The 26,638-nt window shown below is 43.2% G+C and overlaps 2 protein-coding genes across 3 annotated transcripts in view, besides 2 other annotated features; one reads left to right on the plus strand and one right to left on the minus strand.

Annotated features, from left to right (window-relative positions):
• The window catches only part of FBXO40 (F-box protein 40), a 36,917-nt gene extending 27,567 nt beyond the window's left edge, over window positions 1-9,350 (plus strand). Inside the window, exons 3-4 of the mRNA NM_016298.4 lie at window positions 488-2,398; window positions 5,750-9,350. Of these exons, the coding sequence (NP_057382.2) occupies window positions 488-2,398; window positions 5,750-5,965 (2,127 nt within the window). The 3' untranslated portion in view covers window positions 5,966-9,350. The remainder of the gene's footprint in view (window positions 1-487; window positions 2,399-5,749) is intronic.
• Window positions 9,890-10,039: an enhancer, noted in NCBI's record as "active region_20343". NCBI's record gives its function as "activates an Ori minimal core promoter by ATAC-STARR-seq in GM12878 lymphoblastoid cells {active_cell/tissue: GM12878}" and the evidence as "EXISTENCE:reporter gene assay evidence [ECO:0000049][PMID:35858748]".
• Window positions 10,080-10,129: an enhancer, noted in NCBI's record as "active region_20344". NCBI's record gives its function as "activates an Ori minimal core promoter by ATAC-STARR-seq in GM12878 lymphoblastoid cells {active_cell/tissue: GM12878}" and the evidence as "EXISTENCE:reporter gene assay evidence [ECO:0000049][PMID:35858748]".
• Window positions 10,454-26,638, minus strand: part of HCLS1 (hematopoietic cell-specific Lyn substrate 1) — a 29,505-nt gene continuing 13,320 nt past the window's right edge. Inside the window, exons 4-14 of one of the 2 annotated variants that reach the window (NM_005335.6) lie at window positions 26,374-26,503; window positions 23,873-23,983; window positions 21,982-22,036; window positions 16,201-16,311; window positions 15,489-15,544; window positions 14,790-14,859; window positions 13,262-13,473; window positions 12,122-12,226; window positions 11,387-11,618; window positions 11,156-11,239; window positions 10,454-11,037 (exon numbers count right to left, since the gene is read on the minus strand). In NM_005335.6, the coding sequence (NP_005326.3) occupies window positions 10,901-11,037; window positions 11,156-11,239; window positions 11,387-11,618; window positions 12,122-12,226; window positions 13,262-13,473; window positions 14,790-14,859; window positions 15,489-15,544; window positions 16,201-16,311; window positions 21,982-22,036; window positions 23,873-23,983; window positions 26,374-26,503 (1,303 nt within the window). In that variant the 3' untranslated portion in view covers window positions 10,454-10,900. The remainder of the gene's footprint in view (window positions 11,038-11,155; window positions 11,240-11,386; window positions 11,619-12,121; window positions 12,227-13,261; window positions 13,474-14,789; window positions 14,860-15,488; window positions 15,545-16,200; window positions 16,312-21,981; window positions 22,037-23,872; window positions 23,984-26,373; window positions 26,504-26,638) is intronic. The other variant, NM_001292041.2, reaches the window with a different exon arrangement.

Raw genomic sequence — 26,638 nt, forward strand, 5'->3', positions numbered from 1 at the left:
TCCCAGCCCGCACTCTGGTGGTAGTTGATTAAATGATAGCACACCCATATTCCGGAATGTTACACTGCCATTATGAAGAAAGTTTGTAAAGAATAACTAATAAAACAATCTAGTTTCATGTTCTAATAGCAAGATAAAAAGCAGGATGAAAAGTTGTATTCATAGTATTATCCGTATGATATAAATAACCTGTAATCCACAACTCAAAAATAACAATTGTCAACAGTGTAGTCCATTATATTCAATTCTTTTTTTCCTATTCTAAACACATCTACTACATATATATAATAAACTATTGGAAAATTCTAAAAAGTACTTATAGTTGTTATTTCTGGATTGTGGGATTGTGATATTCCATATATTTCAAGGTTTCTACAAAAAGCAGGTATAAACAGGAAATATGTCAATTAAAACACAGTCATAGACATGCATAGAGCTTCTCCTCAGTATTCATTTGTTTTCTTCCCCCTGTCCTTGGTGTGTCCAGGGGAAAGCCCGCAGATCCCCGCCAGGGCACCACAGGCATTGTGAGGGATGCTTCAACCGCCACTGCCACATTCCTGTGGAACCCAACACCTCCTGCCTGGTAATAAGCTGCCACCTGCTCTGTGGTGCCACCTTCCACATGTGCAAAGAGGCAGAGCACCAGCTCCTCTGCCCTTTAGAGCAGGTTCCGTGCCTCAACTCCGAATATGGCTGCCCTCTGTCCATGTCCCGCCACAAACTGGCCAAGCACCTGCAGGTGTGCCCCGCCAGCGTGGTCTGCTGCTCCATGGAGTGGAACCGCTGGCCAAATGTGGACTCTGAAACCACCCTTCATGAAAACATCATGAAAGAGACCCCCAGTGAGGAGTGTTTGGACACAGCCCTGGCCCTGCAGGATCAGAAGGTCCTCTTCAGATCCTTGAAAATGGTGGAACTTTTCCCAGAAACTAGAGAGGCTACTGAGGAGGAACCAACTATGAATGGTGAAACCAGTGTGGAGGAAATGGGAGGAGCAGTGGGTGGAGTGGATATCGGTTTGGTACCACATGGTCTGTCAGCAACTAATGGGGAGATGGCAGAGCTAAGTCAAGAAGAACGGGAGGTGCTAGCCAAAACCAAAGAAGGGATGGACCTGGTCAAGTTTGGCCAGTGGGAAAATATTTTCAGCAAAGAGCACGCAGCCTCTGCTTTAACAAATTCATCAGCGAGCTGTGAGAGCAAGAACAAGAATGACTCCGAGAAAGAACAGATTTCCAGTGGCCATAACATGGTAGAAGGAGAGGGCGCTCCCAAAAAGAAAGAACCACAGGAAAATCAGAAGCAGCAGGACGTTCGTACAGCCATGGAAACCACAGGGCTTGCCCCTTGGCAGGATGGTGTTCTGGAAAGACTGAAAACAGCTGTGGATGCAAAGGACTATAACATGTATCTAGTGCACAATGGGCGGATGCTGATACACTTTGGTCAGATGCCTGCTTGTACACCCAAGGAGAGAGACTTTGTTTATGGCAAGCTGGAGGCTCAGGAAGTTAAGACTGTTTACACCTTCAAAGTTCCTGTGAGCTACTGTGGAAAGCGAGCTCGACTTGGAGATGCCATGTTGAGTTGTAAGCCAAGTGAACACAAGGCAGTGGATACTTCAGATTTGGGGATCACTGTGGAGGACCTGCCCAAATCAGATCTCATCAAGACCACCCTCCAGTGTGCTTTGGAAAGAGAACTCAAAGGCCACGTCATCTCTGAATCCAGAAGCATTGATGGACTGTTCATGGATTTTGCCACACAAACATACAACTTTGAGCCAGAACAGTTTTCCTCTGGGACAGTGCTGGCTGACCTAACCGCTGCCACCCCAGGGGGACTCCACGTGGAGCTCCACAGCGAGTGTGTGACCAGGAGACACAACAAAAGCAGCTCTGCCTTCACTTTCACTTGCAACAAATTCTTCAGGAGGGATGAGTTCCCCCTGCACTTCAAGAATGTCCACACAGACATTCAGTCATGTCTCAATGGCTGGTTCCAGCATCGATGCCCCCTCGCCTACTTGGGATGTACATTTGTTCAAAACCATTTCCGTCCCCCAGGGCAAAAGGCAAAAGTAATCTATAGCCAGGAGCTCAAGACCTTTGCCATTAAGCCGGAGGTTGCTCCAGAGCTGAGCGAGGGAAGGAAGAACAACCATCTTTTGGGTCATGGAGGAAAAAGCCAGAATTCTTTAACCAGCCTGCCCCTGGAGATTTTGAAGTACATTGCTGGGTTCTTGGACAGCGTCAGCCTGGCCCAGCTCTCCCAGGTGTCTGTGCTGATGAGGAATATCTGTGCCACTTTGTTACAAGAGAGAGGAATGGTCCTTTTGCAATGGAAGAAAAAGAGGTATTCCCATGGAGGCACCTCCTGGAGAGTCCACAGAGAGGTAAGTAAACACTCATTTATTGATTGACTCATTCAGCAATTTTTTGTTTCATTTTTTATAGACAGGTTCTCTCTCTGTTGCCCAGGCAAAAGTGCAGTGGTGCAATCACAGCCTTGAACTTCTGGGCTCAAGTGATCCTCTTGCCTCAGTCTTCCAAGTAGCTGGGACTACAGATGTGCATCACCACTTCTGACTAATTTTTAAATTGAGATGGGGTCTTACTGTGTTGTGCAGGCTGGTTTTGAACTCCTGACCTCAAGTGATCCTCCCATATCAGCTTCCAAAAGTGCTGAAATTACAGGTGTGAGCCACTGTACCTGGCCTTAACAAATATTTTTAAAGGCCTTTTTTTTTTTTTTTTTGAGAAGGAGTTTCATTCTCATTGCCCAGGCTGGAGTGCAATGGCATGATCTTGGCTCACCACAACCTCCACGTTCCAGGTTCAAGTGATTCTCCTGCCTCAGCCTCCCAAGTAGCTGGGATTACAGGCGTGCACTGTCACACCCAGCTAATTTTGTATTTTTAGTAGAGACGGGGTTTCTCCATGTTGGTCAGGCTGGTCTCAAACTCCCAACCTCAGGTGATCCACCCGCCTCGGCCTCCCAAAGTGCTGGGATTACAGGCGTGAGCCACTGCACCTGGCCTTTTTTTTTTTTTTTTTTCTGAGATGGAGTTTTGCTCTTGTTGCCCAGGCTGGAGTGCAATGGTGCAATCTCAGCTCACCGCAACCTCTGCCTCCCAGGTTCAAGCAATTCTCCTGCCTCAGCCTCCCGAGTAGCTGGGATTACAGACATGCACCAACACGCCAGGCTAATTTTGTATTTTTAGTAGAGACGGGGTTTCTCCTTATTGGTCAGGCTGGTCTCGAACTCCCAACCTCAGGTGATCCACCCGCCTCAGCCTCCTAAAGTGCTGGGATTATAGGTATGAGCCACTGCGCCCGGCCTTAAAGAGCTTTTTATGTGCCAAGCAGGGTACTAGGCATGGGAACAGTTGCTGAGAATAAGACTGACTCAAGGAGGTCAGTTTAGTAGAAAAGACAGACCTATAAATACATAAATAGCAATCCGGAGGGTAGTGCCTGTTCATCTGTGTATGTGTGCTGAATATCTTCTGTTTGCTCTCAAGACCCATTCTCCATCCTTCTCCACCCTGTCTGTCCCCCAGGAGGCTGCCTGGACAGATTGCCTCAGCTGGCTCCCTTACCCTCCATCTTCCAGTGGGGCTAACGTAAATGGAGCGTGTCAGCAGGAGATGGGAGGAAGGGAAGAATGACGTTGAAGTATCTATTCTCCTGGCTTCCCCCCTGCATGGTTCCTCCCCTTTGTGACACTTTGAGCAGGTGCTGTCCCTCCACTGAAGGTGCCTTTATCAGGCGGCTCTCTACACAAAATTACTCACTGTGGGATCCAACGACCTTCCTTCTTCTCCTTCAGGCCCAGGGCATAACTCTCTAGGTAGCTACTCACCCTGGATACTACACTGTATCTCGTGGCTTTCCTATACCCTGCTCTCGTGTCTGTAAATCATTCCTTTAAAAAAAAATCTCTTCAAATTACCCGGTCTGAGAGTGCCGCCTGTTCCCAGCTGTGACTCTGATTGATACAGGAGGCCAACAAATCTCCTCAGTCCCAAGTCAACTAATTTTTTAAAACAGTTTTTGCTTTGATAAAGGCATTTTGAAATTCTAAATGAATTTGGCCCACTGATTTCCCCGGTTCAAGTGCTAATTTAATTGTTCAAAAAACACTCTGCTGTATAAATCAAAGAACCTTTCCCTTCAGAAATACCTTGTTCCTTTTCCCCAGTAGGTCATGTTTGTTTAACTGTATTATAATTTCTACCAGCTTGTACCATACTGAAGTGAGGCACCTAATTCATCATATCCCAGTGCCTGTAGCATCCTTTCTCATGGTAAACCTGTTGGTACTATGAACCATGAATTTGTGATGCCCATTTAGGTCAATAATTCTATAATCTCACTGTTGAATTTCTTCCTAATATGTGGTATTTGCAAATTGGCACTGGGGAGTTAGAGTTGTTTGCATCTATTTGTATTGATCATGTCTAAAACATTTTGTATGTTTTCCATTATTTATTCCTGAGCAGTCTTCCTCAAAAAGTAATTACAAGACTCTCTCTCTTGTATATGTGCCTGCATTCAAGTGTTAAATAAACACTGATTGCCAACCAAGCACGTATTAGGAAGAAACATGAATGAAGACTAACACACTGCCTTCAGGAATCGTATTGTTTAAAAACGCCTAAAATCCGATGTAAATAATTTAATTTAGATACTATAAATTATTTTTTGGCTCAAGTTTTTCCCCAATTCAATGATGACTGACCACTCTCAGATATTATTTGGGACGAGCTAATTTCCTTGCAGAAAGAAATAAAGAAAATTTAGTTGGGGCTAAAGGATACTCACATTAGAATGGATTTTTAAAGTAAAAAGGGAAACAGTTCTAAGATCTCAAAAAAACCACTTTTCCTACATAGCAACAAGGACAAGAAACTGTAGGTGAAGTAGTCAGGTTGAAAGAGTATTAGGCTATGCCTACTCACATAACCAGACTTGAAAACGGTGACTTTGCCATCACATCCCAGGTGGAAAGACCAGAAGATATTTCAGAACTCATAGAATTCTCCTATGGGGTTCCCACTCTAGTGAGACTCTTATGAGTTACAATACTTTAATTTCAAGCAACAGAAAATCAACCTAAAGTGGCATAAACAATAAAGGGAATTTATTGGCCTATGTAACTAAAAAGTCTAAAGGTAATGGCTTCAGGTAAGGCTTGATCTAACAGCTCAAAAAATGCCCCCAAATGACATCTCTTCTTTCTATTTTTTACCTCTACTTCCTCAATAATGGCTACATTGTAAGATAGTGCTCACTCGGTGGTCTCTGGTGATTGCTGGCACCTCCTAGGACTTCAGCTTTGCAGTTCAAGTAGAGAAAGAAAAAGAGAATCTGCTTTTTGGTATCTCCAACAAAAGTTCTGGAATAAGAGTTGCACTGGTACTAATTGTTCTGATTTGAACTGTGCATCTACTTTAAAATTAATCACTTGCTGGTGGAGGAGCAAGGGAGAGTGTGTGTCAATATGCTGATTGGTGTTAGTGATTCTCACAACTACAGGGCTGGTTGGGAAGATTATTGGTTGGCAGGGGGAACTAGGAATTGGATGCTGGAGGAGGGGCTACCAAATGTCTGCAGGAGCCACTAAACACTCTGGAGTCTAAGAATATGAAGAACAGGAGGATATTTCCTTATAGTGCCCAAATAAAGCCAGCCAGAGGGTAACACCCCTATATTCACCTTTGAACTTCTATCTTTCTCAACAGATCTGGCAGTTCAGCAGCCTCTTCTCCAAAATCAAGAGCTGGGAGTTTAATGAAGTCACCTCCATGTCTGAGCACCTGAAGTCCTGTCCTTTCAACATTGTAGAGCACAAAACTGACCCGATTCTTTTGACTAGCATGTGTCAGCCCCGTGAGCAGGCCCGAGAGAGCTTAGTCTCCACCTTTAGAATCAGACCACGAGGAAGATACGTCTCCTAAAAATTCAGATGCCACTCGATGCACCCTTCTTGGATTTCTTCTCGGAGTTCCTGAAGTAGGACAGAGTGTGTGGTTTTGAGGACTCCCTTCTGTAAACTGCCTATTTGCTTATCGGGGTGTATTGGAACACGCAATGTCCTTCGAAACCTCAACACGAGGCCTAAGAATTTCCTAAGCCATGTCTTGTACCATAGTGCCACATTGATGACTTGTTTCCTTTTTTCTTTTCTTTTCTTTTCTTTTTTCTTTCTTTCTAAAATAGATTGGTCTGAGAAGAAAATAAGTAATTTGAGGCCATTTGGAAGATGGGCCCAATTTCTTAAGTGATGAGAGAGCACGAAATTCCATAACCAGTACAGGCCTGTGCTTTTACATGGGCTTTTTAGTTCACAAAGCACTTTCAAATTTATGGGACAGGAAATGCAGGATGGGACTCCCCAGGGAACGCAGGGTGAAGGGAACAAAGCTGGAGGCTCTGGAGCTGGGTCTGTTTTGACGGTCAAGTCCAGGGCTCATTTTGGTTATTCTACTGCCTCTAGGCCAGGGTAGTCCTAACACAGCCTGACATAGGAGAGCCCCTGGCTGAGCATGGCAGCCTTGAAGACACCACAGGCCAAAACATGAGGGGCAGAAATGGGATCACAGAGTCTGTTGCTAGAATCTTGGCAACATACAGCAGGAAAGCCTTGATAAATCGGGAGTCCAAAGGAGACACCATATTTATGGAGAACATTAGGACAAAAAGTCACCAACTTACTTTGTAACATTTTAATAATGACTTAAGGGTCAAGATTTTTTTCTTCTGAAAATTATGTTCTGAGTTAGGCAGAACATAGCCATGGCCCTGGGCCACCCTGTGCTATCTGAAATGACCTCAATACACTAATGCCAACCTCAGCGTCATGCCAGAATGCACAGGGCAGCCCAGGGAGATCACACCTTTGGCAAAGTCCAGACAAGGCCCACTGCAGTTCCTATGGCGCCAGTCACCAGCTCCTAGACAGCACTTGGGTACCCCATTGGGGTCTTGGAGAGGAAGACATGTGAACATAACGGCTCCCTGAAATTGCTCCTACCCATCCATATTTCTGGTCATGCTTTCAGTCTGACAAAAATGGATGATACTGCTGTTTTTGGTAACAAACAGTGAATATTCATAAGAACAAAAGTAAAAGAAAAAAAGACACAGTAGAAACTGGCATCCCCTAAAGCAGGGCTTCTTAGCCTTGGAACTATTGACATTTTTAAATGGATAATTCTTTTTTTTTTTTTCTAGGTGGGGAGGGGATGGAGTTCACTCTTGTTGCCCAGGCTGGAGCGCAATGACATGATCTCGGCTCACCGCAACCTCCGCCTCCTGGGTTCAAGCGATTCTCCTGCCTCAGCCTCCCGAGTAGCTGGGATTACTCGCCTGGCTAATTTTGTATTTTTAGTAGAGACGGGCTTTCTCCATGTTGTTCAGGCTGGTCTCAAACTCCCGACCTCAGGTGACTCGCCCGCCTTGGCCTTCCAAAGTGCTGGGTTTACAGGTGTGAGCCACTGCGCCCTGCCTGAACTGGATAATTCTTTGTTGCAAGGGACTGTTCTGTGTACTACAGGATACTTGGCAGCATCCTTGGCCTATCCATTAAATGTCAGTAGCACCCCCACAGTGGCAACAATCAAAAATGTCACCAGACATTGCTAAATATTGGGGAGCAAAATGGCTCCCCGTTGAAAATCCCTAAAGGATGTCATACTAGTGACAATAAGTTAGGATATGCTTATTTTTTAGTACAGCAAAATCTTATCGCACATAGCTATCCACAATAGTTATGATTTAATGCAGCTCTTTATTTATGAAATAGGTTTTAGACATGTGGTGATTTTAAGTTGGGAACCAGAAGGAAATGATTCGTTTGGTATGGCTTCATGTCCTTCAGCCACCCCCAAGAATGTATCCTTTCAGCTCTCTTTGGTTATACCTGAAGCCAGGAGCGTTGAGTTATTAGCCTTGTGTTTATATTCCTCTCACTGTAATTGGTGTCATTTTCCCAGCAGTCCTAGCAGTCCTCAAGCAAGTGGGAAATCGGAAAAGAAAAGGACAGGCATTGTAGGGAAGCAGAGGATAAAGAATTTAGCCAACAAAAGAAACAATCTAGTCAATCTGGGTGCTTTTATTTCCTGGGTTCTCTCTAAACATGGCTCAGAGCTGGTGTAGATGAAGTAGGTGAAACCTCTGAAAAGAGTCTAGAAGGCAGTAGAGCAAGTCCCAGACCAGAAACATGCTCATCTTTTCATCGTAATGTGCCACTCGGTACTATTTGGTAATGTCACTCTATTTTTCCTAATCCCATCCTTTGGTTTGTATTTCATATTTGTATATAAGGCACCATTTTCTAAAAATATGACTAGGGTGTGACCTAAGGTTTTATTCTGTGAAGATGAGTAACTGGAAAGAAGCTAACACTGCAGTGGGAAGGAAGGAAGAGAGTTGTCCAGGTGGTAGTTCGACGTGTTTTGAATCTAGTCCTTCCTACATGGAGGATAAAAGCTCCTAAAGTCCACTCTGGGTTTGTGATTTTAATAGAAATAGAAAGGGAAACTATAGACCAATGGAGATGAAAATCAGGGGCTATCGACAGATGGAGGAGAAATAAGGTGCTACATAGAGAAAGGAAGAGGGCAGAAGGCTTTCCCTTCCCAAACTGGGTGAGCTGGGGAAGCCTTGGTTCAGGAGAGTGGCACTGCCCACAACTGCTTTGTGGGTTGTGCACTTCCAGCCGCACTCTCCCCCTCCAGTTGCTGCCTTCAGAGCCGTACTGAAGCACGAGCTTCAATAAGACAAGCACACTTCATAGTGAGAGGGCAGCGGTACCAAAGCCTTTCAGAGAGACTATGGATTAGACAGAAATGATTTGTGAGAGGAAGCTGGAGTGAACAGCATGAACAGCGAGTGTTACCTGACAGAGGCAAGACAGCTAGAAGTGGCTTCAGATTTAGAAACAGCTGAGGGGAGCAAAGACGGACTGTGTACACAGGGAGGGAGGATGTCTATGGGCAGAGCCCTTGGTGAGTATCATCACCAAGAAAGGCAGTCCAGAGTAGAGATCAGCCGAATATGGAGGCTGAGGTCTGTAGAACTGGGCCAGAGAGGACCTTACTGCCTTAGTAGCATAAGGGTCTGGAAAAGAAGTTTCTATCTCACAACAAAGGAAAAAGTGAAAAGCAAGGTGGAACTTGAAGATACGTCACGAAAATCACTATAAAAGTCTGATTTATGTGTGATGTCAAATCAAACTGAAATGAAGAATGAGATTGAGTATATCTGTGGTGACTGACCTCTGTATACTAGAAACCTCAACATCTCTAGAAGAGGAAATAAAAGCTGCTTTGCACTCTGAAAGGCTAATTGGGTGAATCTTATAAGTTAGGTCTAGAGACAGATGTGTGATTCACAGGCATAGAAGTTGTCGCTGAAACCAAGTGTGTATCATGAAGAAAGACCAGAGCACAAGCCTGAGACCAAACTTGTCCAACCTGCCTTATTGTGTTGTTGTTCTGTTTTGTTTTGTTTTAGGCTTTTAGCAGCCTGAAGCCATGGTTTTTAGTTTCTGTCTCTAGTGATAAGCAGAACAGAGGAATGACAAAGGGGCTTTACTGGCCCAACCAGAAACAGAAACTATGAACCCATGGCTGAATTCTCTCCCTTGGACACCCTGCTGGGCAGCTCACCAACTCTATGAAGCCCTGGAGCAACTAACTGTGGGTCTTAGCAACCATTCTAGCTCCTCCTTGATCCCAGTGCCTTCTCCATCTTTTCTTTCTTTCTTCTTTTTTTTTTTTTTTTTTGAGACAGCTTCTCACTCTGTCGCCCAGGCTGGAGTGCAGTGGTGTGATCACAGCTCACTGAAGCCTTTACTTTGACTTCCCAGGCTCAGGTGATTCTCTCACCTCAGACTACTGAGTAGCTGGTGCTATAGGCCCACAATACCATGCCCAGCCATTGCTCAGGCTGATCTGTTTTGGACTGGGTTTAAAATGCAGCCTAAGGAGGCCAGGTGCAGTGGCTTATGCCTGTCATCCCAGCACTTTGGGAGGCTAAGCGGGGGGCGATCATCTGAGGTCAGGAGTTCAAGATCAGCCTGGCCAACATGGGGAAACCCCATCTCTACTAAAAATACAAAAATTAGCCGGGCATGGTGGTGCACGCCTGTAGTTGCAGGTACTCGGGAGGCTGAGGCAGGAGAATCTCTTGAACCCAGGAAGTGGAGGCTGCAGTGAGCTGAGATCACACTGCGGCACCCCAGCCTGGGTGACAGAGCAAAACTCCTTCTCAAAAAAAAAAAAAGTTCAGCCTAAGGAAAAGGCCTAGTCTTTGACATCTAGGGTACAGGGGAATTGGCAGTGGTAAGAGAAAGTTTCCTGGATATGCCTGGAAGAGGAAAGGTTGGAGCCTTAAGATTTGAGGCCATGAGGGCCACACAAAAAGTACTATTTACCTCAGCATACAGGTGAACCATAGTCTCACTTTATTTCGAATTTTAGGACTGAACAGAAAGAAGGTTCAGATATTTCTTCAGGGAAGGAAAGTGGGCAAATAGCACAATGAGGCAAACCACACAATCTAGACGTACTTTCCCGGGTAAACAAACTGGGAAGCCCAGAGCTCACAGAGGAGGAGAGCAGAGCTTGGGGTGGCAGAGAGGTGTTCATTGGGAAGGAGTCAGGAACACAAGAGAAATGTTCATGAGCTCATCCAGGATAGAGAGGACTCTTGGGGAAGGGGACCTCCTTCCCCATGCTGTCTCTGCCCCAAGCCCTTAATGAAGCAGGAGAGGGAAGTCTGTCCAGAACCTCATCTGGTTAGACATTTGCAGCAGGAATAGGGAGGGGGTGGAGGCAGAGCCACTTTGGACATGGGAAATCACAGTTGCAGTAGACAGTGAGCTCTAGTCACTCCAGAAGCTTGACATAATTTGCAGGGAAGAGTCCAAAGTGGCCATGGCAACGTCCCCGCCACCAGCCCTCGTCCACCATCTCAATGTCAGTGATTACGTCGTCCGGATCAAAGGAAAGCTCATCACTTCCCTCTGGGGAGAAAGTTGAGGGGATATTAGAATGGTCAGACATGAATCTCTTTTCACATGTCCCCCTGTCTTATATCAGGGGCCTCCATGTACCAGGCTCCTCGGGCCACTCCCAACCTACCTCCTTGGTAATCATATACAGCCACAGCTGAGATCCCCAGAGCCACAGCCCCAGCCCCAGCCCCAGCCGGGCAGCCTGATGATCCTGCATAATGAGAAACACAAACATGGGATCATCAACATGAAGAAGGCAAACAGAGAAAGATCCTACTGGGGCAATAGAGAAATTCTTCTTCCTCTTACCCTCCCCTGGACATGAGCAAATTCTCCTGCTTCTCCTCCCATCACTCACCAGCCAGAGCAGAAGAAAAAGAAGAATCTTCAGGCTCGAGCACCTCCTCATAGTCCCCCTCTGGTTCATCCTCCTGCTCATGCCTGTCCATCTCCTCAACGTCCTCATAGTCATTCTCAGGCTCGGGCTCAGGCTCGGGCTCAGGCTCAGGCTCTGCTTCGTACACTGGCTCTTCCTCCACCTGGAGGCCTTCCAGAGTCCTAGGGGGCAGAGCTGGGGGCTCCTCATTGTCCTGAGAAGAGACAGTGTGGAGCACTGTGACTTCCACTTTCCAGGAGGAATCAATGGAGGACTGATAAGATCCCCCGCCCTTCACCACCCTGCCTCTTCTCCCCTCTACCCTTGCCTCCATCTAACAGCCTCTCCTGGGGAACACAGCCTTTCATCCATCTTCATTCTTCAATCTCCTCCCACACCCACCCACCCAAAACACATTCCAGAGACAATGGGAAGAGAATGTAAAAGGTGTGAGGGGAGGGAAGTAGAAAACAAGTCAGATTCTTTGGGAGACCAAGAAAACATTGAAGCAAGAGCACATTGTTGAGCTACCACAGCTAGGATAATCATCTATACTAGTTTGCCCAGGACAGAGGAGTTTCCCAGAAGGCAAGGTCTTCAGTGCTAACACCAGAACAGTGCAAGGCAAACCAGGATGGTTGGCCACCCTGCACAGCCCACATTCCTAAGACTCGAGAAGATGGGGTGGGGGCAGAGAATCTTTGGGGGTTTGCTTACCTCCGGGAGAGTCTGCCTAATGGGCAGCAAGGGCACTGGGTGTTCCCTGCTGGTTCTCACAGGCTCAGACTCTGATGATGGAGGAGTCCCAACTGGAGGCCAGGCCTGTGGAAAATGAAGCATCTCTCAAGTAAGCAAGCCTCCATCTTCACTCCTTTTTTTTTTTTGAGATAGACTCTCGCTCTGTAGCCCAGGCTGGAGTGCAGTGGTGCGATCTCAGCTCATTGCAACCTCCGCCTCCCAGGTTCAAGCGATTCTCCTGCCTCAGCCCCCTGAGTAGCTGGGATTACAGGCACACGCCACTATGCCTGGCTAATTTTTGTATTTTTAATAGAGACAGGGTTTCACTATGTTGGTCAGGCTGGTCTTGAACTCCTGACTTCCTGACCTCGTGATCTGTCTGCCTTGACCTCCCAAAGTGCTGGGATTACAGGCATGAGCCACCACGCTCGGCCCATCTTCATTCTTTTTATTTTATTTTATGCATTTTTTGAGACAGGGTCTCACTCTGCTGCCCTGGCTGGAGCACAGTGAGATCATAGCTCACTGTAGCCTCAAACTCTTGGGCTCAAACAATCCTCCTCTCTAAGCCTCCCAAGTAGCTGGGACTATAGGCACACACCACCATGCCCAGCTAATTTTTTAATTGTTTTTATAGCGATAGGTTCTTACTATGTTGCCCAGGTTGGTCTAGAACTCCTGGCTTCAAGTGATCCTCTCACCTTGGCCACCTCAAGTGCTAGGATTACAGGCATGAGCCACCACACCATGCATGTCTTCACTGTTACATTTACCAGGAACACCCTCTCCCACTCTCTGCCAATTCAAATGGAACTCATCCCTCAAGATGGGCTCCAGCCTGAAGTGACGGCCCCTTCCTCATAGTTCCTACAGCAATAATTGGCTGTGCTGGCTGGTGACTTGCTTTCTGTTGTACTATGTAAATCTTGAGGGTTTTTTCTAACATTCTGATAGGAGGTCCAATTACAGTCAGACTGAAGTCTTCTAAAGACAGAGACAACAGACCTTGCCTAACCCAGGGGAGGACTTTGCCTTATTTTCTGCCAATGGTTTGGACCCCTTAGGCTCCTGTCTGGGCAAGAGATCCTGGATGTGGATCCCAGAGGGCCAGGCGCTCACCTCTGAGGAGATTTTCTTGGGCAGTGGGGCCGGTACTGCTGGCTCTTCCATAGCTATCACTGGCTGTGGAGCCTCAGGGCTCCTCTTTGTCACAGCCTTTCGCTCCTGTTGCCTCCTGGCCACCTGCTGTGCCTTCTCCTCTTCCTCTCGCTTCCTCTTCTCCTCAGCCATGGACTCAAATTTCGCCTTCAGCCCACGGGTACCACTAGAAGCTGCAGACACAGGCAAGAAAAATTAGGGTTGTCTTGGATTGGAGAGTGGGGAAGGGCATGGCACTTGAAGGAAGAAGGGGAATCAGTTAAATATCCGGGAGGAGGGATTTGTGGGACAGGATGGTAAAGAGGTATCGATAGAGGAACAAGGGATAATAGGAGGATGGCATAGCCCTGAAGCCTGGATTTTTATAAAGCCAGGCTATACGACCTAAGACTCGTGTCTTTTTTTTTTCTTGAGACAGGGTCTCAGCCCAGGCTAGAGTGCAGTGGTGCAGTCATGGGACACTGCAGCCTCAACCTCCCAGGCTCAAGCAATCCTCCTACCTCAGCCTCTGGAGTAGTTGGGACCACAGATGTGCACCACCACACCCAGCTAATTTTTGTATTTTTTGTAGAGAGGGGATCTTGCTGTGTTGCCCAGCCTCATCTTGAACTCCTGGGTTCAAGTGATTATCCTACTTCAGCATCCCAAAGTGCTGGGATTACAGGTGTGAGCCACCATGCCCAGCTGACTTGTGTCCTTTCTAAATTGTAAACTTTGGGCTTCCAAAAAGCATCCTCCCCTGTCCATATTCCATAAATCTGTATGCCTTCTTCAAGCCACCACTCATCCTCAACCTCATCCGAAACTCCTGTCCCTGTGTGTTCTTCCCAAGTGGTTCCTCACCAATGTTCCCATGCCACCCCACCCCTGTCCCAAGCCACACTGTGTTCTCTGCCTCCGATTCCTTCCCCGACGTCACTCTGTCTATCCACTTGACTTTCTCTCTTTCTTTCTTTTCTTTCTTTCTCTCTCTCTCTCTCTTCTCTCCCTTTTCTCTCTCTCTCTCTCTCTCTCTCTCTCTCTCTCTCTCCTCTCTCTCCTCTCTCTCTCTTTCTTTCGTCTCACTCTGTCACCCAGGCTGGAGTTGAGTGGCATGATCTCAGCTCACTCCGACTTCCGCCTCCTGGGTTCAAGTGATTCTCCTGCCTCAGCCTCCCAAGTAGCTGGGATTATAGGTGTGCACCTCCATGCCTGGCTAATTTTTGTATTTTTTATAGAGATGAGGTTTCCCCATGTTGTCCAAGCTGTTCTTAAATTCCTGAGCTCAAGCAGTCCTCCCACTTTAGCCACCAAAGTGCTGGGATTACAGATGTGAGCTCCGCCTTACCTGGTTTTTCTAGGAAAGACAGAATCTGGGAATATGAGGATAGGGATCAGGTCTAACTCAGCTAATCTAGGTAGTTAAAGGCATGGAGGATATAGTCTGGGGAAGAAAAAGAATGAGGGAGAAGGAAGTGAGGTGCATGGAGAGTGAATCACTAAGCCTCACCGGCTTCTATGGGCGTCGTCTTCTTATAAGCTGTGGTCGGGGCCTCCATTTCATTGAAGCCGACAGCGCTCTGCAGGCAGGAGAACAGCATGTGTGTTGCGGGAGAGGGGCAAGGGTAGTGGTGACCTGGAGGTAGTATTGGGGGTTGGGGGCCACTATAAGAGGTATCCCTAACCATTGGATGCTCAACAGCTGGACAGCATGTTCCAATGTTGTTTTGTGGTAGAGAGGGGGTAAAGAAGTTCTTAAGTGCTGAGTTCAGCTCCCCCTTTCAGCAGCTCAGTGACCTTAGAATCTCACATCTCCAAGCCCAGTTGCCTAGAATGTAGCAGGGCCCCCTGGCTCATGCATGAGGAGGAACTAGTGTAGGGAGGACAGTGGCATGGGGTGGGAAGAGACTTAAGATTGGGTTAAGCAATGCCAAGAAATCAATACAATTTCCAGTCCAATACGACCTTTCCCGGCGGTTTACCTGTCTCTCTGTATGCCTCTCCCACTGTCCTCAAAGCTCAGGCTTTGGCAGACATGCCCCTTAGATGCTGAGGGCAGTCAGTGGGGACTGCAGGACGCCAGCAGGACAGGCTCTGTGTGCCCAGCACCACCGTCCCCTCCCTCTCCCAGCCTTCTTCACGCTCTTCTCTGCACACTTTCCTAAACTTAGGGAACTCTTCTTAAGACATTGGTGTTCCGGTGCTTTACCTTATCCACTCGGTCCTTCTGGATTCCATACTGGCCACCAAAGCCCTTGGCATAATCTGCAGGACAGAAAGTTCTGAGTTATAGGAGATCAAAATGCTGGGAATGGGTGGTGAGAAGAATCAGTGGGAAGAAAAACAGGAATGTGGAAAACAAATGTAGGAGGAAATGTGAGAATCAGAGGATAGAGGGAGGCATGGATGGGAAGAGAGGGAAACAGATGGGGAAAAAATCTGGGAGCGAATGGAGAAGACAAAGATGGAAGTAGGGAAACATGGAAAGCAGAAAGCAACAGATAAGGAAAAATGTAAAAGAAATAGGAAAAAATACAGAGAGCACTTCAGCCATCCGTATGGGTTCCAGGGAAGCAGTAAACCTCTTTATCCTCTGTGAGGACAGCAGAGATCCCTCTAAGACTCATGGCAAACCATCTTCTGACCATCACTCAGCTTGTCTGTCCTCATTCCTTCCTCAACGCCCCCTTCTCTCTCACCTCCCTCCTAGGCCCTGCTCTTAATCCTTCTGTTTTCCTCTCCATCTCTCCTCTCTCCCCTCACTACCACCACCTGTCCCCACACATGTGCTTACTGCCCTGGCACCCCCTGCTCTGCACATCTGCCCCTCTGTATTCTGGGGCACCCGGGTGAGCTTCCAGAAAGGAAGGAAGGAGATCCCTGTGCTATCTGTGACCTTCCCCCTTCCAACCCCAACTCACCTCTCTGGGACTCGTGTTTCTCCGTCTCTCCCTTGTAGTCATATCCCAGAGCTGCTTTGTCCCATTTATCCTTCTCCACCCCGTACCGGCCACCAAAGCCACGAGAGTAATCTGTGGTCGAAGGAGCAGTCATGAGAGCCCACCCTTAGGCTCCAGCACACAGGGAAGCGCTGGAGAAGAGAGGTCAGCAGGAATGGGTACAGAGTGTTAGGGGCCTGGGAAAAGAGCAGGGCTTGAATACAGGGGAATTAAAGAGAAGCCATGTCTTAAGTAGTCTTTTAATTGAATATTGCTTACTTTTTCCCTCTCTTCTCTCATTTCCATGCCAAGATGAGAAGAACATTCCCATTTTCTCCCTTCTTCTTCAAGAAGGGGAAAGTATAGAGAGTGAGGAGATTGCAGAAAAAAAAAGGCAGATACATGAAATGTATGCCTTTCCCCTACTCCCATATAAGCACATAGAAATGTCAGATAAAACATAACAATTGTGTTTTAAAGAGTGAAGCTCAGGCCGAGCACGGTGCTCATGCCTGTAATCCCAGCACTTCAGGGGCCGAGGCAGGTGGATCACCTGAGGTCAGGAATTTGAGACCAGCCTGGCCAAAATGGGGAAACCCTGTCTCTACTAAAAAATACAAAAATTATCCAGGCATGGTGATGTGCGTCTGTAGCCCCAGCTACTGGGGAGGCTGAGACAGGAGAGTCACTTGAACATGGGGGGTGGAGGTTGCAGTGAGCCAAGATTGCACCATTGCACTCCAGCCTGGGTGACAGAGCGAGACTCCATCTCAAAAAAAAAAAAAGTGAAGCTCAGCAGAAAGGAAGGGAAAAAATCCTGGCTCCAGAAACCAGAGACAAAGAGATGAATCAAAGCTGTATGTGTGAAGATAATTATGAACTGACACCACAGAAAACCCAAGGGCATTTTTGGGGGATTTTTTGTTTTTAGAGGTAGAGTCTTGCTCTTTTGCTCAAGCTATAGTGCAGAGTACAATCATGGCTCACTGTAACCTTGAACTCCTGGGGTCAAGCAATCCTCCTGAGTAACTGGGACCACAGGCAGGTGCCACCATGACTTGCTAATTTAAAAAAAAATCTGTAGTGATAGGATCTCACTGTGTTGCCCAGGCTAGCCTTAAACTCCTGGGCTCAAAGGACCCACCCACCTCAGCCTCCCAAAATGCTGCAATTACAGGTGTGAACTACCACACCTGGTCAGATTTTAAATTCCAAATGTAATGAATAGGGATTAGGATCGAGGCTCTGTGATTCTAATTTCCATTTAAGAATGGGGGAGGAGGGAAGAAAGCCAGAAACGAAGCTCTGTCCACTCCTATAAGAGAGTGCTAGAAAAATTCTACTCATTTACTCAGGAAAATCATGAAGGGGGCTTGTAACCTGTTCAATATTTGATAGGGGGAAAATTTGCTTATGAGACTTGGAAACTCCAAGCCTACATCTGAGTGTAGAATGCAAATACACATTTTTTTTCCACTTATGTGATGCAGGAATTCTAAGCTGAGAAATTAACTAAATACTGATCCAGGAAAATATACATTTTGGAAAGAGTAAGCATAAGAAAGATGGCATGAATATGAGATAAAGTGATCTCAAGACAAAGTGCATTCTAAGAGACAAGAAAGACATGCTCCAATGATAAAAGAACAATACCTTACATCAGGAGTATGTATGCTGGCATAAACCTATTCACAGAACCAAAATTCATGAAGCTCTCAAATAAAAGAAAAATGTAAAAAACCAGGTGTGGTGAATGCCTGTAGTCCCAGCTACTCAGAAGGCTGAGGCAGGAGGGTGACTTGAGCCCGGGAGTTCGAGACCAGCCTGAGAAACATCGCAAGACTCCAACACACACACACACGCACACACACACACACACACACACACACACACAAATAATGCAAAAGCTGACAGAAGTAGAAAGAGAAATAGACAAATCTGTAATAGTAGTTGAACATTTAACACCATTCTTTCATTAATTAATAGGTATTTTAGGCAAAAACGAATCAGTAAAATTATAGAAGATCCAAACATTATCAACTAATAAACCTAATTGACTCTTATACAACACTATACCCCAAACTACAGAATATACTTTTTTCATGCATATAGAACATTGACCAAATAGACCATGTGCCAGTCCATAAGTCTCTAAGACAGTAAGTCTCAGTACATTTCAAAAGACTGAAATATCAGAGATCATATTCTGATCACAATAGAATTAAAGTAGAAGTCAATACCAATAAAATTATCTAGAAAATTTCCCTGATGCTCAGAAAATCAATAACAGCTTTTAAATAATACATGTGTCAAAGAAGAAATTACAAGGGAAATAAGAAAATATTTTTAACTGAATGATTTTATTTTTTGTTGTTGTTGTTGTTGTTGTTGTTGTTGTTTTTTGAGACAGGGTCTCACTCTGTTGCCCAGGCCAAAATGTAGTGGCACAATCATGGCTTGCTGCAGCCTCAACCTCCTGGGCTCAAGTGATCCTCCCACATTAGTCCCCTGAATAGCTGGGACCACGGGTTTGTGATGAATGAAAATTAAAACACACACATTCAAATATTTGTTGAATGTAGCAAATGTTTGTAGCAAATGAAGGTAGTGTTCAGAGGGAAATGTATAGCTTTTCAAGTGCCCATATAGTAAAGGAAGGCTTAAAATCAATTATCTAAGTTTCTACTTTAAGAGGCTAGGAAAAGAACAAACTAAATTAATACTAAGTAGAAGAAAAACATAATAAAGATAAGAGCAGAAACCAATACATTTTTTAAAACAAGTAAATAATAGAGAAAATTAGCAAAGCCAAAAGCTTGTTCTTTGGAAAGAGTAATAAAATTGATAAACTTCTAGTAAGAATAATTAAAAAGAGAAAAAACACAAGTAAGTAAGATCAGAAATGAAAATAGGCATTTCATATCACTAGAAATCTTACAGAAGTTAAAAAGAAGAGAATATTATAAATGAATTTATGCCAATAAACCTGACAACACAGACAAAATGAACAAATTCCTTGAAAAGCACAACATACCATAACCAACTTAAAAACCAGAAAGACTTGAACTCCATGGGAAAAAATAATAATAAAGGAAAAAAAATGTCCGTTACTATTAAGACCTCTAGAGTTGAGCCAGAAGTAGAGGCAATATTTCCCTGGATGAGGTACTTACTAAACCCAGGGCACATGAAATTCTCATAAAACAAATATCCCTCTCCTTCACTAAAATAAGTTTATAAACAAGATTACAAACCATCAAGGAAATAAATAACCATGAGGAACGCAGATTAGTCAGAAGAAATGGCACAGCCAAGAACTGCAAATAATATAAAATATGAAAGAAACTGCAAAGTACATGTTTAAAATAATTAAACAGCTTAAAGAAGTGGCACAGGGAACCATAATGAAACCATAATGTCTTATGGAAAATGAATCAGCAGATATGCAATAGAACCAAAAGAAACTCCAGAAATGAAAATATCTGATGTGGTGGCTCATGCCTGTAATCCCAGCACTTTGGGAGGCCAAGGCAGAAGGATCACTTCAGCCCAGGAGTTTGAGGCCAGCCTGGGCAACATAATAAGACTTTATCTAAAAAAAGAGAGGGAAGGCAAGGGAAGGGGAGGGGAGGGGAGGGGAGGGGAGGGGAGGGCAGGGGAGGGGAGGGGACGGGAGGGCAGGGCAGGGCAGGGCAGGGCAGGGCAGGGAAGAGAAGGGAAAGGAAGGGAAGGGAAGATATTTGAAAGAAAGTTTAAAATGCAATGGACAGCTTAAACAATAATGAAATACAGCTAAAGGAAGAATTAGTGAACTTAACCTAGAGCTAAAGGAATAACCCAGAATGCGGCACAAGGACATAAAGAGAAGAGAGAAGAGGTATTATTCCAAGAGAAAATGCCTGAGAACTTCCTATAATGAAAGTCACATCTGAGGTTGAAAAAGGGCAGTAAGTCCCATATAGGATAATAAAAGTAGATCTAACATTCAGACACACCCTAATAATAGTGAAGAATATCAGAGACCAAAAGAAAATCTTTAATTAAAAAAAACCCGGAGATATAAGACATGTTACCTACTCAGGAATGATAGTCTGACACAAGAGAGATGTCAGAGACGATGAAATAAGATCTTCAAAGTGATGAAGGGAAAATAAAAATGAAGAATGATGCAACATAAAGACATTTTTCAAAGACTGAAAGTTCTTTCATAGACTCATTGAAAGAATTATCAATGGAATATTTTAGCAAGAAGGAAATAGAAGACACAAAGGTGAAACAATGAAATACAATAAGCAATGTTGAGCTAGGAAATAGGTAAATACCTTGGTCAATTTAAATAAGCATTTACTAAGTAATAATAATGATTCATTTTTGTGGGGTTTATAAGATGGAATCAATAATAAGATGGAATAAGATGGAACCAATATACTGAACAACAACAATATGGTTGGTTAAAAAGAATGTAGTTAAAATATTCTATGTTTCCAATACACTCAGGAAGAGATTGTGATTAATTTTAAATTTAAGTCAAAGATGCATGTTAAAATTTAGGAATAACCTTCTAAAATAAAGGAATAGAATACCTTATTTTCAACCCATTAGAGAAAAAAGAGGGATTCAAAAACTTGATCAATATGGCCAGGCGCGGTGACTCAAGCCTGTAATCCCAGCACTTTGGGAAGCCGAGGCAGGCAGATCACGAGGTCAGAAGATCGAGACCATCCTGGCTAACATGGTGAAACCCCGTCTCCACTAAAAATACAAAAATTAGCCCGGCGTAGTGGCGGGTGCCTGTAGTCCCAGCTACTCGGGAGGCTGAGGCAGGAGAATGGCGTGAACCCGGAAGGCGGAACTTGCAGTGAGCCGAGATCCAGCCACTGCACTCCAGCCTGGGCGACAGAGCCAGACTCCGTCGCAAAAAAAAAAAAAAAAAAACTTGATCAATATTATAGAAAGCGATCACGGAGAAAAAGAGAAGCAAGTGCACACTGGGTTTAAAAAGCATATAAAATAGGGCCGGGCACGGTGGCTCACACCTATAATCCCAGCACTTTGGGAGGCCGAGTCGGGTGGATCACGAGGTCAGGAGATCGACACCATCCTGGCTAACACAGTGAAACCCCGTCTCTACTAAAAATACAAAAAAAAAAAAAAAATTAGCCAGGCGTGCTGGCAGTCGCCTGTAGTCCCAGCTACTTGGGAGGCTGAGGCAGGAGAATGGCGTGAACCCAGGACACAGAGCTTGCGGTGAGCCAATATAGTGCCACTGCACTCTAGCCTGGGTGACAGAGCGAGACTCCCTCTCAAAAAAATAAAAAAGTATGTAAAATAGCGGTGGGTGTGGTGGCTCATGCCTGTAATCCCAGCACTTTGAGAGGGTGAGAGGGGAGAATCACTTGAGCCAAAAGGTTTGACACTGCCTGGGCAACATAGTGAGACTCCATCTCTACAAAGAATAAAAAATTAGCCAGGCATGGTGGTGCACACTTGTAGTCACAGCTACTCAGAACGCTGAGGTGGGAGGATCGCTTGAGCCCAGGAAGTCGAAGCTGCAGTGACCCATGATTGTGTCACTGCACTCCCGCCTGGGTGACAGTGCAAGACCCTGTCTCAAAAACAAACAAATGAACAAAAAGTAAATAAAATAGTGGTGCGCTGGGTCATGGAAGTTAAAAAGCTGATGACAACTGCTGGAAGATAAAGTCTTAGCAGAAGAGCCTGCCGGTCAGATTGCTGAGGCTGAGTGAAGTACAGTGTCCTTGCCTTTCTGAGATGTGTGCTTCTCCACTTCTCCTTTATAATCAAAGCCGACTGCTGACTACAGAGAAGAGGAGACAGAATTGGTTAGAGTCAGAGCTGACAGGTTTTCCTCTTCCTAACCTCCCCTTACTCCCAGCCAGCCCCAGAGGTAGTTTGTAGGGGCTTCAGGCTGAGTATAGGTGTTTAATGTAGAAACAGGCTGGTATGGACACAGGATACTACAGAGCAATGAACATAGGCCCTGGACACAGACAGTTTTAGGTTCAAACCCTACATCCCCTATTTATAGTTGTTGAAGTTTAAGCACGTTCCTTTATATTACTAAGCCCCAGTCTCTTTCAATATAAAATCAGGAGAGGCATGCCTGCCTTATCTACCTCGACTGTAAAATGAGAGAAATGATCCCTCTTCATCTGGGATGTCATGAGAACTAAATGGGACAAGGTAAAGTGTCTACTTAGTTTCATTCACTAACTTAGCGCTTTTCTTCCTAACGAATCCTCACAAAAGTGAAATGTGATACCTAGAAAAGTGCCTTGTAAAGTATAAAGCACTCTGCTCATGAAGAGACATTACCCTATTCCCAGTTGATAATGCTGTGCCTCTTCTCTTTCATTACTCAATAATGGAAACACAAATATGTGGATTTTGGTGGGATAACTGCAACCAGGAGAGTCTGGATCCTAGCTGGCTCTGGGACTGGATATGTTGCCCAGATACCCAACATTACCGCAGAGTTTTGGAGCTTTGTTCTCCATCTGGCTCAGGAACTATGGGTATCTAAGCAAGTCTGGGTTTTTGCATATTAAGAACTAATTAACATGTATTGTTTCTTGATTTACATGACACACTGACTGGGTGATTCCATTTGTGGCTTGTGAGCAAAAGATGTAAGAATCGGTGATTAAGCAAAGGCAGGCAAGAGTGGTGCCAAGATGGAACAGGGAATTCCATCCTGATTCTAGAACACTGCATGCTCCATATTTCACTATTGCCTTCTACATCTTCCCTTAGCTTTGCAGTATGTTTTAAACTTTCCTGATTTTGTTTTTCATGGTTTTACCCCCCATGATGCAAACAATTAATTTTCTAGAACTTAGCTGCCTTAGCTTCCAATCCTTAGCTTTAAGGATGCATGTCCACCTAATTAACAACTGTTGGTAAAAACAAAGAAAAAATCTCAGCTAACTGTGAAGGAGCTGTCCTCTCTCTGTGTGCAGCTGCAGGGCAGGAGACACCATTCTGCACCATAAAAAATGAGTTCAAAGAATCCGACCTAATAAGGCGTGGAACTAAAAACATCGATGAGTTATCAATCTTACTCTCCTGTCAACGATATGATGCTGTAATCATACGGTACTTTTTTTTCTCTTTAAAACAACATTTTGTTTTGTTTTGTACAAAGGAGTCTTTAAAGATATCTGGACTTCATAGATTGATGCTAAATTCTGTAAATAGTAACCCTAATTAGTTGTTTAACTTGATTATCTGCTGCTATGGCAATAATATTTAAACTGATGAATCTGTTTTCCTAAACGGCATGAGTATTTATAAGGTTTTGATGTTAAGCCAAAAGAAGAGCTTAGATGATTCTCTGTTCTATCTTCATGCATATGAGTATAATAAAAACCAGTGGCTTGAGGAATTATTCATTCAAACACACAGTTTGAGAGTCTTCTCCTATTTGAATCACTGTCTTTCAGCTCAGCATGTGGCTTCCAACATTGGCACCAAGGAACTTGCTGAGGGAGGTATCCCTGTGACGGTGTCAGGTCCTCACAGCATCCACTGTCCTGTCTTTCAACAAAGAAGCATGTGCCTCCATCCAGGGGTGATCGTGGGCAATTTTCACAGGACTGGAGGTGGGTGGTTGGGAGAGAGAGTGGTCACTTACCTTGTCTGCCCTGTCCCTCTCAACTCCGTACTTGCCCCCAAAGCCTTTGGCAGCATCCGTCTGAGAAGAGTGCTTCTCCACCTCGGCAACATACTCATGGCCCACTGCACTCTGAGAAAAATCAAGGATGGAGTGAGTGAAAAGATAAAAATGACCTTAAAAAAATAAATACAGATATGGAGTGGGATGTAGGCATGTAAGAAATTCCATTCTGGGTCAGATCTATAGCCTCTGACAGTGGTGCCAAGGAATACGCGATGGGAGAGCAAGATGACTTTTTCTGGAGACCTGCTCATCCCTGTTCTTCTCTAATACCATTAGGAATCCTTCATTCTGAACACTCCCATAGGATGGGCTGGGAACCAGGGGATAGAGACAAGGTAGACAGAGCAGTGTTTAAACCAGAAACAAAAAGAGCTGAAACAAGAGCATTGTGCAGCAGAACAGAGTGTAGTGTGGGGTAGTGTGGAGGAGAGACCAAGGGGACTGACCGGACGCCATAGCCGGGATGGAATATTTCACTAGGAGAGCCAATGATTTTGTTCTAGATCTTTGCTCCTGTATGGCCATCAAAGTTCAGAAGTGAACTCTGAGCTTTATACACCATGTAATGTAGGACATGTATACAAAAAAAATCACTAAATACACAGTAAATAAAATAATAAAGAGAAGTTGCAACATAGACATAATACATAAACATTTAAATGCAGCAAATAATTTTAAAACATATTTTTTCCTTCTCCACTTGTGCTCCCTGTCTTCTTGGTCTAGGAGTTACAATGTGGTTGGGGCTACAACAGGCCAGCAGTTCTAATATCTTGGTTCTTATTTTCTGCCATGTATATCTTATGTGTTGAGATCAGAAAAATTTGATACAAATAATATGTGGACATTATATTTTAGACCAAATGACTACTGTACTTTTGAATGAGTTTTAACTCATGAACCAATGAATGAGTCAAAAAATATATATTTTGATCTAGAACAAAAGTATCTGGGTGTTTTAGCAAAATTTTTAAATATACTTAAATATTATATACTATATATTTATGAATAAACTATATATTTATAATATAAATATGTTATATCATATAATTATAATATATTAAAATATACATAATATAAATTTATATATTTACATTTACTTATAATTATGTAACATATATTAATAATATATATTTATAAATATATTTATAAATAATTATATAAGTATATAATATATAATGTATTAATATATAATATATTAATTATATACTTGTATTAATATATAATATATTAATTATATACTTATATATAATATATACTTATATATAACAGATACTATATATAAGTATATATATAATATATCTTATAATTAATATATAATAATATAATATTAAATATATTATTTATATTTTTATATATTTTATATATTTATATATATTTTATATATATTTATAAATAAAAATATATAATATATATTATATTTTATGTATTATATTTTATATACTTATATAATATAATATATATTATATATTAATTATAGTATATAATATATTACATTATATTACATATTATTACTATGTAATATATTACTATGTAATATATTACATAGTAATAATATGTAATATAATGTATTAATAATGTAGATTATATATTATATATGATATATAATATATAATATAGATATATTATATATTATATATACTTATATATAGTATCTGTTATATATAAGTATATAAGTATATATTATATATATTAATATATATTTATTACATATATTAATATATATAATATATATTAATATATATACTTATTATATATTATATATTATAAGTATATATTATATTATATATACTTATAATATATATACACTTATATATAATATATAAAATATAATATACATTATATTATATTTATAACATATATAAAATATATAAGTATATATAATAAATATATACTTATATAATTATATACTTACATATAATTGGCTCTTATAGAGCCAATTATTTTATAGCCAATTATTATAGAGCCAATTATTTATTATAGAGTCAATTATATATACTTATATATAGTTGGCTCTTATTATAGAGGTATATAATTATATATAAGTATATAATTATACATATTTACAAAATATATAAGTATATATATCAATTTTTTAATGTATTATTTATTTATTTTATTTATTTTTTTTTTTTTTGAGACAGAGTCTCGCTCTGTCTCCCAGGCTGGAGTGCAGTGGCATGATCTCGGCTCACTGCAAGCTCTGCCTCCCAGGTTCACGCCATTCTCCTGCCTCAGCCTCCTGAGTAGCTGGGACTACAGGCACCCACCACGACGCACGGCTAATTTTTTGTATTTTTAGTAGAGATGGGGTTTCACCGTGTTAGCCAGGATGGTCTCGATCTCCTAACCTCATGATCCACCCACCTTGGCCTTCCAAAGTGCTGGGATTACAGGCGTGAGCCACCGCACCCGGCTTGTATTTTTTTAAAGCAAATCTTTCCCTTTCAACTTACCTTGTCCATTCGGTCTCTTTCTACTCCAAACCGACCTCCATAGCCATGGGATGCTTTGGGCCCTGACTCCATCTCTTTCTTCCTGAGAACATCATGCTCCTCTGATACTTTGTTCCTCAGCTGGTGGATGCTGGAAGAAACCACATGACCAAGGCTCATCTATCCTAGGGAGATCAAGAAACCCATCTTCCCAGAAAAATGGAAGCCTTGAAGTCTGTCCTGTTTACTTTCAGTAATAACCTGGGCCCCCAAAATATACTAGTGA

The sequence above is a fragment of the Homo sapiens genome, chromosome 3, assembly GCF_000001405.40.
Source record: "Homo sapiens chromosome 3, GRCh38.p14 Primary Assembly".
Taxonomy (NCBI): domain Eukaryota; kingdom Metazoa; phylum Chordata; class Mammalia; order Primates; family Hominidae; genus Homo; species Homo sapiens.